The 14498-nt window shown below is 33.8% G+C and overlaps 1 protein-coding gene across 9 annotated transcripts in view; it reads right to left on the bottom strand.

Annotated features, from left to right (window-relative positions):
• ZBTB20 (zinc finger and BTB domain containing 20) overlaps positions 1 to 14498 on the bottom strand; it is an 832789-nt gene that overhangs the window by 580659 nt on the left and 237632 nt on the right. For 8 of the 9 annotated variants that reach the window (NM_015642.7, NM_001348801.3, NM_001348800.3 and 5 more), the window contains one exon: positions 5146 to 5184. The gene's annotated coding sequence lies outside the window, so the exon portion shown is untranslated. Of the gene's footprint in view, positions 1 to 5145; positions 5185 to 5440; positions 5468 to 14498 lie in introns of those variants that run through there. The other variant, NR_121662.3, reaches the window with a different exon arrangement.

Here is a 14498-nt window from a genome sequence, read left to right on the forward strand (position 1 = left end):
TGCATAGAAGGAAATCAGAAAATCTTACCACACTAATTTCCTTCTCAAGAAAAAATAAAACCTTACACAGCGATTTATGCACTGACAACTATGCTCACTAAACCTGAGGCTGCTTAGATTACCAACAGGACCACTTTTAAGTCATTTTGATGCATATGAAAGTAACTCATCAAGCATGGGTTCTTCATCCTTTGCAAGAGACTGCTTTTAAAGGTATCTGACTTTCAGAAGAGGGATGAGAGTTGTCTGGGTTGTGTCAACACGCTTTCTATTGCAAGACATACCTCCATAATCAACAGACATTGAAGTGAATGTGAGCATCCCCATCTTAAGTTTTTCTTTAAACAGCCCTAGCCTTCTATAGAAATGTGGCATGTATAGTTAGAAATTATGAGTCTAATTATGTTGAACTGAGATAAGCAACAGATATCACAAGAGCCATAATTGGACCAAAGTTAACTTTCTTAATGTATGTGTCCCACACTTCCTTGAAATTCCTATACTACTGATTATAAAAATTTTTATATTTTGTCAAGAGAAGAGAGGAAAAAATAATACACAGAGACTACTATGCAATAATACATAGGTGGTAGTGGTGCACAAAATAAAGTATTTTGTATACCTAATTTACTTTAATCCACATATCCACCATTAAAAAGGTAGGTGTTGTTACCACCATACTATACATAGGAAAGCTTGAGGCTTAGTAAGCTCTGCCAACCTCGATGAGGTCGCACAGCTACTGAATAATGGAGCTAGACTTTTGGTAAAGGTCAGTGGGAGGGAATCCAAAGCTCCTAAATTCAAACTCAAGCATGAGATTTACAATCCAGATATCCTAAGTGCATCACTGGGTTCCAAGATGGTGATTTATTTAAGGAATTCACAGGCGTGTTGAAAGCATTTGAACTCACATAAGCAGTAGATGTGTTCTTGCTAAACCTAACTCAACTTATTCTCCTTATGAGGAAATCAATGCTATTCACAAACACAACCTAAAAGGCTTTATTCAATTTAAATGAAATTAATCTTATTATAAGAACACATGAAAATGGAATTACCATACAATCTAGCAATTCCACTTCTGGGTATATACTCAAAAGCATTGAAAGCAGGTTCTCAGAGAGATAGTTGTACACCTATATTCATAGCCAAATTGTTCATAATAATTAAAACATGGAAGCAATCCAAGTGTCCACTGATGAGTGAATGGACAGGCAAAATGTGGTATATACATGCAATTAATTATTATTCAGCCATAAAAACAAGGAAATCCTGACATGTACTACCACATGGATGAATGCTGAGGACATTACGCTAAGTGAAATAAGCCAAACACGAGAAGAGAAATACTATATGATTCCACTTATATAACTACATAGAGAAGTCAAAATGACAGAGACAGACACTAAAATGGTGGCTGCCAGAGGCTGGGGGTGGGAGTGCAGAGGGAAATGGGAAGTTATATTTTAATGGGTATAGTATTTTAGTTTTACAACATGAAAGTGTTATATAGAGATGTATTGTGGTGATGGCTGTGCAAGCATCATAAATGTATTTAATACCATTGAACTGTATACCAAAAAATAGTTAAGATAGTAAACTTCATGTTGTGTGTATTTTTCCCAAATACAAAAATTTGGGGAAAATAATAAAAATATCACATGAAGGTCTTTTAGATTCAGTACATTGCTTCATGATTTTTATAATATCTTCTAAGGCCAGGGAAGCAGAGGTAACTTTGTATAGAACCTCTGAGTACAATCTATGTGATAATGCCCAACCAGGATCCCTGCTCCCAGGCAATTAGATGTTCTTTTTTCAGAGTCTAAACTGCAGTAGTGGTGATGGCGAGGGAACTGGTAGTGATAGAAATGACAGTAGCATAGCTAAGATTTCTTCAGTACTTGCTATGTGCCAACCAGTGGACCAAGAATCTTACATGTAGTGTGTTATTAACTCTCAGACAACAGATACTATTATTTTCCCAGTTTTACAAATGAGTAAACAAGGGAACAGAAACATTAGGTAACTTGATTGAGACCATACTAATAATAAGTGGTGAAGTCAAAAAGAACTCTATTGATATATCTTTGTCTCTCACTAGCCTGTATCCTCTTGAGAACAAAGATTTTGTTGTATTCATCTAGCCTAGCACAATTTCTAGCAAACAGCAGACATCCATTCACCATGCAGAATAAAAGGAAATGAGGAAAGGAGAGAGGGAAAGAAGGGGGAAAAAAGAAATTATATCTAGTCATGCTATGTTCTTAATAAATGTGGATTTTCTTTCTTTATTTCCTTAACCCTGAAATCGCAGGGGAACCTGCAATAATGCTCAGGAATCCTAGGGCATAGGAATTCCTCCCTCTTTGAGATTCCAGGCTAATTCCTGACACAGGACCCTCAAAAAGCTGCTAATATCTGTCTAGTTTAATGATTAATATTCTAGCAAATATATATTCTTGGCTCATCTCCTAATTTCTAATATTGAGACTAACAGAGAGATAGAGTTCAATCTACCACACTAAGATTCACTGGAAAAAACCGATGTCTTTGATATTGGCCTCTTGCACACTGGTGTGAACTGAGGTAAAAGAAAAACTGTTCCCAGAGGAAAGGTAGTTCCATGCCTAAAAGTACATGTGTCATAAACCAGTGGTACTAAAATTTGAGAAGCCTAAACAAAAGGTTTTAATGCAATAGATAACTGGCTTATTATGTAAACTGTGCCAATCTTATGTGACGGGCTTATGCCACACAAAACGGAACATTAGAATGATCTATCTAAAGCAAGTCTTAACTGTTCTATTTTGACTCTACTCTTGCTTGGCTTTACCTCTATTTATAATTAAAATTTAGTGAGTCATAGAGACCATAATTATAAACATGTATACAGTAAACACAGGGTCCATTACTTTTGCTTAGAAAAATAATTACAGATTTTTTAATATTCTGATCTTAACTGACCCAAAGGAATTAAACACACATTTTATTTTTGTGTTTTAGTGAGATAGAGATAGGGAGGGAGAAGCATAAGCCAGTGCTCAGGAAAGACGAGGCATTAACCATATAACATAGATTTGTTTATTTATGGGCTGCAAAGTATTTCCAAGGTGACAAGTAACTTAGCCATTAATGCCTCAGCCTTATGTGTATAATGGGAATAACATACAGACTTCTTGTAATAAGTAAAAGTTAGTTTAAAGCACATTGCAAATAGTGTTATTTCAATTATTCATTAAAATAGTCAAAAAGGATCAGTTCTTATACATTAATTTCTCATTTTAAGGACAGAATTTATCAGTATTCTCATATCTATGTAACTGGCAGTATGAGAACTAAAGGCCATCAAGACTTATCTAAACTGTATAACAAGTAATAAGATTTTAGGACACAATCCCTCTATTTCTAATACAACTCCAGAAATGTTTTATTCATAAATGCATTCATTCAACATTTACTGATCAACTACTATGTACAAGGCATTGTATAAGAGGCTGTGGCAATCCTCTACTTACCTTTGTACTGTGTTTCCTACTTCCAAAGAGGTTAAATTAATACCAAAGTGATTTGTTAAAAATACAAAAAAGGATTCCAAATGGGCCAATAAAAGGAAAAGACACACCAACTCTAAGACCAGATTTATGTTACTAAATACCGACGGAAACTCCTCAGCATTTAAAAGAATACATTAAGGAGAGTAATGCAAGTCATTTGGATGTTTTCAATATGAGAAATTTGAGCCTACTGAATAAATTAATTAAATATCTTTAATATTGAGTTGCAGCTTTTTATTGCATTTATAGAACTTTACCTATTAGTAAAATATACAATCTATAATAGCTTGTCTATATCAAAAATATAGATATCTGTCAGAAAACATACAAAGCCACAACTAAAATACATTTAATATCATTACCAGTAACATTTGTGAAAAAATACCAAGCATCTAGCATTTGTTAAATTAAAGAATAATATTCCATAAAATCTACATCTGGATTTTAGCCCCTCTTTTAGAATTACTATTTAATCTTCACTTTTTTTCTCTCTCACTTCTACCCCAACAGCAACAGAAACACATGCACAAATTAAGGAATTATCTTACAATATACCCTTAAATTTTCTGAATATGCCCCATGTGTCCACTAATAGCCAAATGCTTTCAAATCTGTTCAGCTAAATGGATCAATAACTACATCCAGCCTCACATAGTGGGGCTGCCAACACGGTGAAATTGAGCCAAACACAAAATGTCTCTACCAGGACAAAAATTATTATCAACCCAGTTATCTGAAGAGATCTACTCTCCCAGATATTCTTTCGAGAAGTTGGCATACACATTATCTAGGGCAGTCAACAGCTACTAAAAAAAAAATATTTGAGTCATAAAACAGAGGATTTAAAGAAAATATTCAGAAGCTAAAACCAGTGAGTTTTAGAATAAACCAATGTAACAGTTCAAGGTCTACATCAAGTAAGAATCTTTCAGAGTCAGAGTACACAAAACACGTAAGAGCACAAGCACACTGCTAACAAGCTTCTCTGTGCTCTCACTCATATGACACAGCTGCAAGCAACAATTGAGCAGGTGCAACCAAGCTTTTGAGAATTCCTGCCTGTTGCCCAGGAACCACAACACTGCATGGTTGAGATTTTAAACAGGTGCAAACATTTTTTTTTCCCATTCGTCTAGTGCTTGAGACAGTGGAGCAGACAGTACATCTGCAACCACTCCATACCTAAAGCAACCATCACAGAAAATAAACTCAAAAGCAGCAAAATAAAAAAAAGTTTAAATAAAACAATAATGGCAAAACTGTGGTTTTGCAATGGTCTGACCCCACATCACCGTTCACTTTAATAGTACAATTCCATAAAATAATCTCTTCACCAGATGAATGCTTTGTAATTAAAATTATTTGCCTTATCAAATCTTAGAAATGTTTACTTGATTCTTACAATAGAATAAAATAAAATATATGTATAAAATGTACTATCCTTTGAAGCTGTCATTATCTGTAAGTAATCAAGAATTAACATTTTTACATTATGAAATCTATAAGCAATTTTAATACATAAAAATATTATAACTTGTTAGTTAATATATAGATTTACATAGTTATAGGTAATTCATATACATACCTGTGCAGCTATGGGGCACAAACTTGCAATTCATCAATTCTGAAATGTAAAAGAAATATATAAGTAAAAATTAATTTACTAAGTTGGAACCAGTATTTATGTTGCAACAATTCCTGCAGAGAAGTAGGAAAAGTTTCAGTGCATAAAGAGGTAAATTATTTTTTATCAATATTTTCCCTATAGGATATTTCATATATCTGAAAATATATACACACACACACACACACACACACACACACACACACAGAGTCCCTTAGCAGTGTATCATAAGCACTAGCAAGGGACTCTGACTCACCATGGCCTCTGAAACTCAAATGCTTTCACTAGAGGACGAGGCAAACACTTTAAAATGATTTTTTTTTTTGGTATTCTTCCAAGACTATTGCCTTCCTAATACAAATATGACTGCTGCTCTCTAAAATGAAACTACTCAGATTCATCTGCACTCAGTTTGGATAGAATGTTGTTAAGGAAGAAAGGTGCTTTTGTAGAGCAGTCCACAAAAAAATGCATGAATAAATGAAAGTAAACTTTGAATGTTCGTTAACTTTGAGTTACAACAGCAAATAGAAATGAAATTGATTGCTACAAGAAGGAATGCTAACACCACGTCGGATATAATGCAAAATGCCTCAACTCAACACACTTTGACAAAACTGCCAGCGAAGTAGGTATTGATACAGAAGACTATGTAAGTCCACATTAAACAAAAGTAGCAGTTTACAATTAGACCTGAAAAACATTTGGATTTAGGTGGAAACTGTATTGCAACATACAGCCTGGGAACTACTGGTACTCTTAAAAATATTTCCTAGTTCTAGCCAGGAGTGGTGGCTCACGCCTGTAATCCCAGCACTATGGGAGGCTGAGGTGGGCTGATCACCTGAGGTCAGGAGTTCGAGACTAGCCCGAGATTACGCTATTGCACTCCAGCCTGGGTGACAAGAGAGAGGCTCCATCTCAAAAAAAAAAAAAATTCTTTTTGAAAGCAAACGGACATGTTTAATTTATATAGTTCTTCTGAGCACAGTCGATTACAGCAACACATTATAGTCAGTAAGTCCACTTTATAATACTGCTTAAAAGTATATAGAGGTAATAATTTTGATGATGGCTCAATAAAACAACATCTTCGTATATTCTGATGGGAATGTGGATTACAAAAGACTTTCTAGAAACCCACTGAGTACTATGTATCAAGAACCCAAAGTTCAATATTTTTACTCAGTAATTTTAGTCCCAGGAATCAAATGTAATAGAAAACCAACAGAAATTTATGTAAAAAAGATAATTTTTATGACAGTAAAAAACTATAAGCAACCTAAATATCTAATAGAAAAATAATTAAATAAAGCATAGCACATCTATATAAAGGAATATTTGGCAAAATTTAACAAGGTACTTTAAAGAATATTTTAAATTTTACGGAAAAATGCAAATTTATAGTATTATGATGCTAAAATATTATATAAACATGTAGACTACCAATTACATGGACAGTATGAAATTATGTGAATAAGAAAAAACAAAGAACAAAACAAAGAATTAAGAGTGATTATATCTGGATAATAAGACTTTGGATGATTTTAATTTTTTCTTTTTACTTTCATATATAGTTAATTATCTACAATAAGCATGACTTTTATAATAGGAAAAAATAATAGTAGGTAGGGTAGGGGTAAAAGGAAAAAGTTATAAAATGCTATATTGAATTCATAAATGTAACCTTCCTAAGAGAAATAAATTAATTCAGTCACAAATAAAACCCAGTAACTGTGCCTACAGTGAGAAACACCCTCACTGCTTCCTCAAAGGGGCATAGCCAGGGTCTTTTTTATCCCAGTGCTTTGGAATCTACACAAGTAATTCAATAACACATTTTTAAATCATCTTAGTAAAACTTCTTTACTTATTATGCAGAGTGAAATGATGGCAAGAATAATTTAGGACTTCAAATCTCTTCAACCTAGCACAGCCTAACTTATTCACTAATTCAATCACATTCAGTGAGCATCTACTGCCTGCATGGTGCTGTGTTTGGCACTGCAACGTGCTAACAGATAAATTAGGACACACCTTACCCTCATTGAGCTAACAATTTAAAAACACTAAAAAATGTTTAGACACAGCTCACATGAAGAAGTAAACACAATACAGTTCAAAGCATTTGTGACAGATTTGGTACATTTTAAAGCAAGAAAACATACACTAGGTTTATTTTTTATATTTCTGAGCAAACACCTATCTTTAGGTAACAATAAAAAGTCATGTGTATTAGTATCACTTATTAATGCACTAGCAAATTAAGTATTTAAGTTTTTTCCTTATGTGATCTATTTTTTGTTAATGGACAGTTACATAATAGGAGATTAAGTATGAAGGAATAGTGACCCAATCTGGAATGCAGATGTGTAAGATTGTCTCAGTTTATCTGAGGCCACATAAAACACATGCACAATTATTAACAGGCTGCAGTTATTTATTGGAAACCAAAGCAAATAAGTTAGTTACTGGTTAATCCTGCTAAAAGACACTGTTATGACAACACCACCAGGGAAAGAAAAGAAGATAGAGCAAACCACTTTTGTTATGCAGATAAAATGATTCAGCATAGAGATTCTCTCAATAGCAGTTCAGTTTCCTGCTGGCCTGTAAACATAATCAGCAATGCCCTTCTGAGGCCAGTGCTGCAGGATTATTCCAATGTGAGGTCAATGGGGTCAATCTGTGTGAAGTGGTGACAAACACTAAGAGAAGGTAAGAAGCTATTTGTGTGATCAGTGATCCATAGACTGGGGCTCAGAGTTCTGGGAAGCAGTAGAGTTATGAGGTAGGGTGGTAGTTAAGCACTTAGCTTTTGCCATCAAACAAACCTGGAATCAAATTCCAGCTCCCCATCTTTAGTTCTGTGATCCTAAGCAATTTAAATTTTCTGTCTGTAAAATGGTGATCATGTTACTCACCCTACGAGGTTGTCTATGCAGGTTATATGTTATAGCCATATAAAGGAACTAGCACAGTGCCAGCCATGAGGTAAGCATTTGATAAAAGGGAACTGTTAGTACTATCATAGTTGTATGAAAAGGGAAAGCATGTCTGTCCCTTTAAGCTAAGGAACTAAGCTAGGCAAGGAGTAAGGAGATAAAGAAGGCTTGTTGAAGACATCACCCTACAGTCCAGCAGCTCATCCAAAAGCCAGTCATGTGCTTGATGTTCACAGAACATTTCTGAATCAGGCAACACTGCAACAATAGTAATAGCCACAATAACAATTCTAACCAGCACTTTTAAGCTCCATTCCTATGACTGAAAAGAAAGGCAGTAAAGTCTAAATAATACGTGCAGCAACACTGCCGAACTTCTCTGGGTGAAAAATGAAGGATCACTTTCCACATTTAACTGAAACAATCAGGAAAAGGAAAATAAGGACAAAATGAATATAATTACTCAACTGGAATTGGACCAAGGTGCCGTGTAATGGTCTTAGCAATCACATGTAGGCACTTATCACCTTTTTATGTATTCTAAGGAGATCCTGCAGATGACCAGAGCCTTATATATGAGGTTTGCAACTCTAAGTAAAAAAAAACGTTAGAGTCAGTTTTTTTCTTATGGCTGGGAAGACAGAAATGGATGCATACTGATGTTGTTCTAGTCCTTATTTGTGTTTTGATTTAAAGGACAGCACAGATCCTGAGTTGTTAAGTGGCGTGTCTTCAGATTCCCACACAGTTCATGTAATTGCTAGAGTTGTTTCACTCGCATTGGGTGAAGTTACTATTAGCACCATTCCAGATGCAGATATACTATAGAGTGTTTGTTTGTTTGTTTGTTTGTTTGAAGTTCTTTTTACTTCTAGGTTGGCATAGCTGTGTTCTCCAGTGGGATAGGTCCAATTCTATGTTACAGAATACAGAAATAGTTCATCTTCCCTTCATACTAGTTGGGCCTGGCTAGAGATGCCCCTTAAGCCATTAATAAATCTACTTGCTAATTCACTTAGAGTACTAACAAGGATCTCACCTGGGCCTGTGGGTACAACCACTCCATAGAAGAGCTCTAAACCTAAATTTAAACAAAAAGAATTTCACCCATGACTGAGGAAGCATCCACAGGACTATTTTACATGCTTTACATTTAAATTTGATATTTTGAGAGAAGACTATGTAATTCAAAATAATTTTATTTTATTTAATATGTATTTAGTCCTTCTGGACCCACTACAGAGCTGGATGTTGTATCATTATTATATGGTTATTATAAAATGTACACTTTACTCATCAATAAAGCCAATTTTACTTTTGAAAATTGAGGTACCTGGCTTCTGTGGTTTCTCTCAACAGAAAGTCCTATGAAGAGTAAGAACTATAAATTGTCAAGTAGACTTGAAAAACTTATGCTTATTTTGTAAATTACTGAGCTAGGTCTGGCCCTTCATTTTGAAAAGCTATCTGCCTATAAGAAAGAGGAAGTATGAGGAGCACAGTTATCTATTAATCAACACTGTGAACTGGAAACAGATAAAGTGCAATAAAGAAGGAAAAGGAAATCATATGGTAAACACCGTTAACCCAACGGCACAGTTGATCTGTCTAGACCTTAGGTCAGATAAGCTGTAATAAAGCTATAAAATCCACGAAAAACTAAAGCTTATTTACAAAAACTGCAAAATTTGAATTTTCTATAATTAATGCCACTTAAAATGAAAGAATTTAATATCAAATTTCATGTATAAACATGATAAATTTGAACTCTCAAGTAGAAACCTCATCTACAATACACTAAGTGTTAATAATTCTAATTGTCCTATAATCCACACTTCACAGCATATTCTAGAGAAAATAGCTGTTGGGTTTTTATGACTTAACTTAAACTTCACAACTTTTAAAATAAAAGTTTAAGAGCTAATTTAAAAATGTATTTAAGAACCTAAAATTTAGAAAATATTAAAAATTATATTTTCAAAATATCCTCAACTTGAAGTTATGGCTATTGAAATCAATGATTTATTCTCAGAAAATGTGAAAATTTTACTGGCCTGCTTGTATACATCCCTGGGGTCTTAGTTTAGATATTATCTCCTCCAGAATCTGATATCCTGTGTCTAATCCTGTCATAATAATCATTTTATTGCACTGGAATTGTCTTTTACATAAGACTGTAAACTTGGGGACCAGCATTTGTATCTTATTCACCATTACATCTGTAGTTTTTACTTAGCACAGTACATAATGTGTGGTAGGTAGGTCTTAAATATTGGCTAAAGGAATGTTGCATGAATTGTGTTAGCTTGTATTCTTGATGATTAAGAAAATTCACACTGCATAAAAAATTAAGGAATCACATTCGTAAACAAGTTATTCCCAATCTTTAAAGGACTAATCTTCCAATCTATTTTCTTGTGCTTTTTCTACCTATTTTTCCTCTTAATCAGTACAAACTTAAAATATGAGAATTTGAGTCTCAAATGTTAACACCAGGTTAGAAAGCCTCGTTAGTTTGGCCCCACATTGGACAAGAATGAGTTGTCCAAATCCTACCTGTTAACAGATACTCGGTATGGAAGAAACTGTTACACAGAGTTCACTGAAAGAGTTCTGCAGTTCCTAACCAATTATGTGGTTCTTATACTTTCTCTAAAAAACTTCTTCTAGCTATAGTTCCTGAGACAGATACCTCCACTATTTTATTCTTTTGTGGCATATATGACAGTTTAAATTATTGGGGTGATTATTGGCTTATGTGTTTATTATCTCTTTCTTTCCCACTAGATTGTATACTCCATAGAGGCCACACTACTTTATTCACTACTCTATACCCAGGGTCTAGTTTAGTGCCTGACACACAGTCAACACTTAATAAGTATTTGTCAGATGTATAAGACAAACATGAGTTCAAAAATATGAGCAGTAAATTTAGAGCAGTAGCTTTCAATCAAGAGACTATAAAAGTAGGCAGTTAACAGCTACCCCTAAAAAGTGTTTTCATTTGAACTCTGTGGAAGCCTTGATGATGTAGAAAATCTTTTATTGTAAATTCTGTTCAATCAAAGGCAAGGCAGAAAAACTTCAAAAGCAATTCTAGGTAGGATGAAGGTATAGTACCTAGAAAAAGCAATGGAATCACAACAACAGCAACCACTTTCAATTAGAAGTTTTGAGTTTGAATTAAAGCTTACTAGGTATGTGTCCTAGGTAAACTTACATAACCATCTCTAATATTCAGATTAATCATATTTAAAATGAGGGGGATTTTATATAATATAAAATTTTTATATTATATAAAATTTTATGTTTTTATGATGACTTAATGAGATTATATGTATACAAGTAGCTATTAGCATTATCTATGGCATTTAGGAGAAGGGGCTCACTATTGATTAGTTCCTTTACCTTGGCCAGCCAGCGTCTGCAACAAGATTGAGCTAAAACTTCATCAAGTAACCAGGATAATACATTTTAGGTAGGAAAACATAGATGAAATAAGGGCTTAAATGCAGAGAAAAGTAAGTTGGTGTTAGGGTTAATACATAAAAAAAAATGTGTAAGACAGAGTAGCGAGAATTTCACAGCAGTTAGAAATGGAAAAAGATTTCAACATGATACAAAAACTGCCAAGAAATCTATTAGCTTTTCCCTTAGGTGACGCAGTCTTCCCCTCATATAAATAAAATAATTGCTACTATTATAGTTGGAGAAAAATCAACTGAAATGTACATTAAACACGTATTAGAGATTTAACATTCTTCACATCATTTCACATGCTGAAAACTCAACCTTTGTAAATATAGCCATGAACCTTATTATTTACTATAATAAAGTAACAGCATATCCTTTTCTATGTACTACTTGCAGAAGTATAAAAGGCAAATGTGTTCTTGCTCTTTAGGTGCAATTACAAGGCAGCAGAATGTAGTTAGGCTAATTTTTTGCATTTTGTGCTCATCAGACAGTGGCTACCAACCCTGCAAGAAAAAACTGGTACCAAAAATACTTCATCGGAAATTCTATTTTCATACTTAGTTGCTTTCAGTATTCTTACTAATTTGGTCAAACTTATGTCAGCTCCCTCATTAAAATTGTTTTCTGTCTAAATCGTTATCTTTTCTGTGTACGTATATGTGTGTATGTGTATTATTTGGTCAATATTCAGACAGAACAAGTCTGAGATGCACCGCATAACAAAAGTAATCACCCCATCCCCATACTTCTCAGGGAATATCTACCTGGTACCAATAAGCTCATCAAGAGTTCATCTGAATTCATAGCCTTTGTCAATCAGAGGTGATAAACTGTGATTTTAGTAGTCTATGTTCCCTGCAAGACCATCGTCTTCATGAGGGCTAGAATCTGGTTTATTTTCTTTCTTTTTTGTCATCACCACCTAGTTCAGGACAAAGCACACAATATACAACCATTGGATATTTCATTCATTTATTCTAAAATGTTTATTGAGTACTTACTATGTGACAGGCATTGTTCCAAGTGGTGGTGATTTAGGAGTGAACAAAATAGATGGAAATTTCTGATCTCATGGAGATTATATATATTTGTTGTGGATGTCTGATAATAAATATATAGAATGACAGACAATTATCTGCGCTAAGGAATTAAAATAAAGCAGGGAAAGGGAAAAGTAAATGATGGGATTGGGAGTTGGGGTTGAAATTTTAGATAGGGGGACCAGCAAAGAAATTATGGAAAGATCACATTCAAGTGAAGACCCAAAAGAAATGAAGGAGGGAGTTAGCCAGAAATGCCTTGGAGAAAAGGCAAAGGAATAGGAAAGAGTTTCCTTTAAAATGCCAGGCTATATTCAGATAGAAATGTTTCTATTAAAATATAAAGGTATACGAAAGGCATTCAAGCCAAAGAAATAGGAAAGACTTTTCTTTAAAATGTCAGGCTATATTCACACAGAAATGTTTCTATTAAAATATAAAGGTCCTATAGAAACATTTCTGTACGAATATATAAACATCAAATACATAAAAGTTTTAAAATGTTTCATAAGAAAGGAACTTAGAAATCAAGAAGATAGAGCTAGGGTATTTGGCATTACTATGATTCTACCACAACCCTCCCAGGGGAATTATCCAGCTCAGTAATAACCTGAGAAATTTAGGGGTACAAATAAAGTTTGCAATAACTGTAATCACTGAGAATGGCAACCTCCTAATAGATCTGGAATACCTAGAAGAAACAAATCCACTTTTGCAGGATACCTTCAACAACTCAGGTCATGTGGGAGTCTCACAGAAAAAGCAAACACCAATGAAAAAGAGCTCATATATCAAAAATATCAAATCCGAAGAAAGGTTCATCCATAAATGAGTCAGCAGATGAAAAACTTTAAATGAAATGTACGCATTAAGTTCAAAATAGGGCACAATCTTAGGGAACTAATCTGAGGGCCAAAATAAAAAAAGAAAGAAACTATGAAAAAGGCAGATTTGATAAATATACAGAGATTTATAGAAATAAAATTGTCATTAAAATTAATATCTGAAGTGAGAATTTATCATATTAAATGGAGCTAAAGGGAGGATTACTGAACTGAAAAATAATTCCAAGGAATTTACCTACCATAAAACAGAGATAGAAGATATTTTTTAAAAAGATTAGGAGATATAAATGACAAAATAAAAAACTCTAACATATCTAATAAGTATTTAAGAATGAAAAAAAATAAAGACAAAAATGCAATATCTGAAATGATGATGAATCTTTTCCAAAACTGATAAAACCTCAGAAAACTGTAAAACAGCATCAGGTAGGTCCTTCAGGGAATATTTCAGAAAAAGGAATTTTTATCACAGGAGATGACAGCTCCATGCATGTTATTACGCCAGAAGACCTTCCAGTGGGACAAGATGTAGAGGTGGAGGACAGTGATATGGATGATCCCGACCCTGTGTAGACCTGGCTAATGTGTGCATTTTTGTTAGTTTTTAGCAAAGTTTAAAAAGTTAAAAAAAATTAAATGGAAAAAATACAGAATAAAGATGTAAAGAAAAAATATTTTGTACAGCTATACAATTTATGTGAGCTTTAAACTAAGTGTTATTACAAAAAATTCAAAAAGTTAAAAAATATGTTTATAAAGTAAAACACTTAACAGTAAGCTAGGGTTAATTTATTATTGAAGAAATATGAAACTTTTATAAATTTAGTGTAGCCTAAGTGTACAGTGTTTATAAAGTCTACAGTAGCATACAGTAATGTCCTAGGCCTTCACATTCATTAACCACTCACTCACTAACTTTCTCAGAGCAACTTCCAGTCTTGCAAGCTCCATTCACGGTATTAATTATAACTTATAAGCAAAAGACTATACCATACAGCATACGTGTA

The sequence above is a fragment of the Homo sapiens genome, chromosome 3, assembly GCF_000001405.40.
Source record: "Homo sapiens chromosome 3, GRCh38.p14 Primary Assembly".
In the NCBI taxonomy this organism is placed as follows: domain Eukaryota; kingdom Metazoa; phylum Chordata; class Mammalia; order Primates; family Hominidae; genus Homo; species Homo sapiens.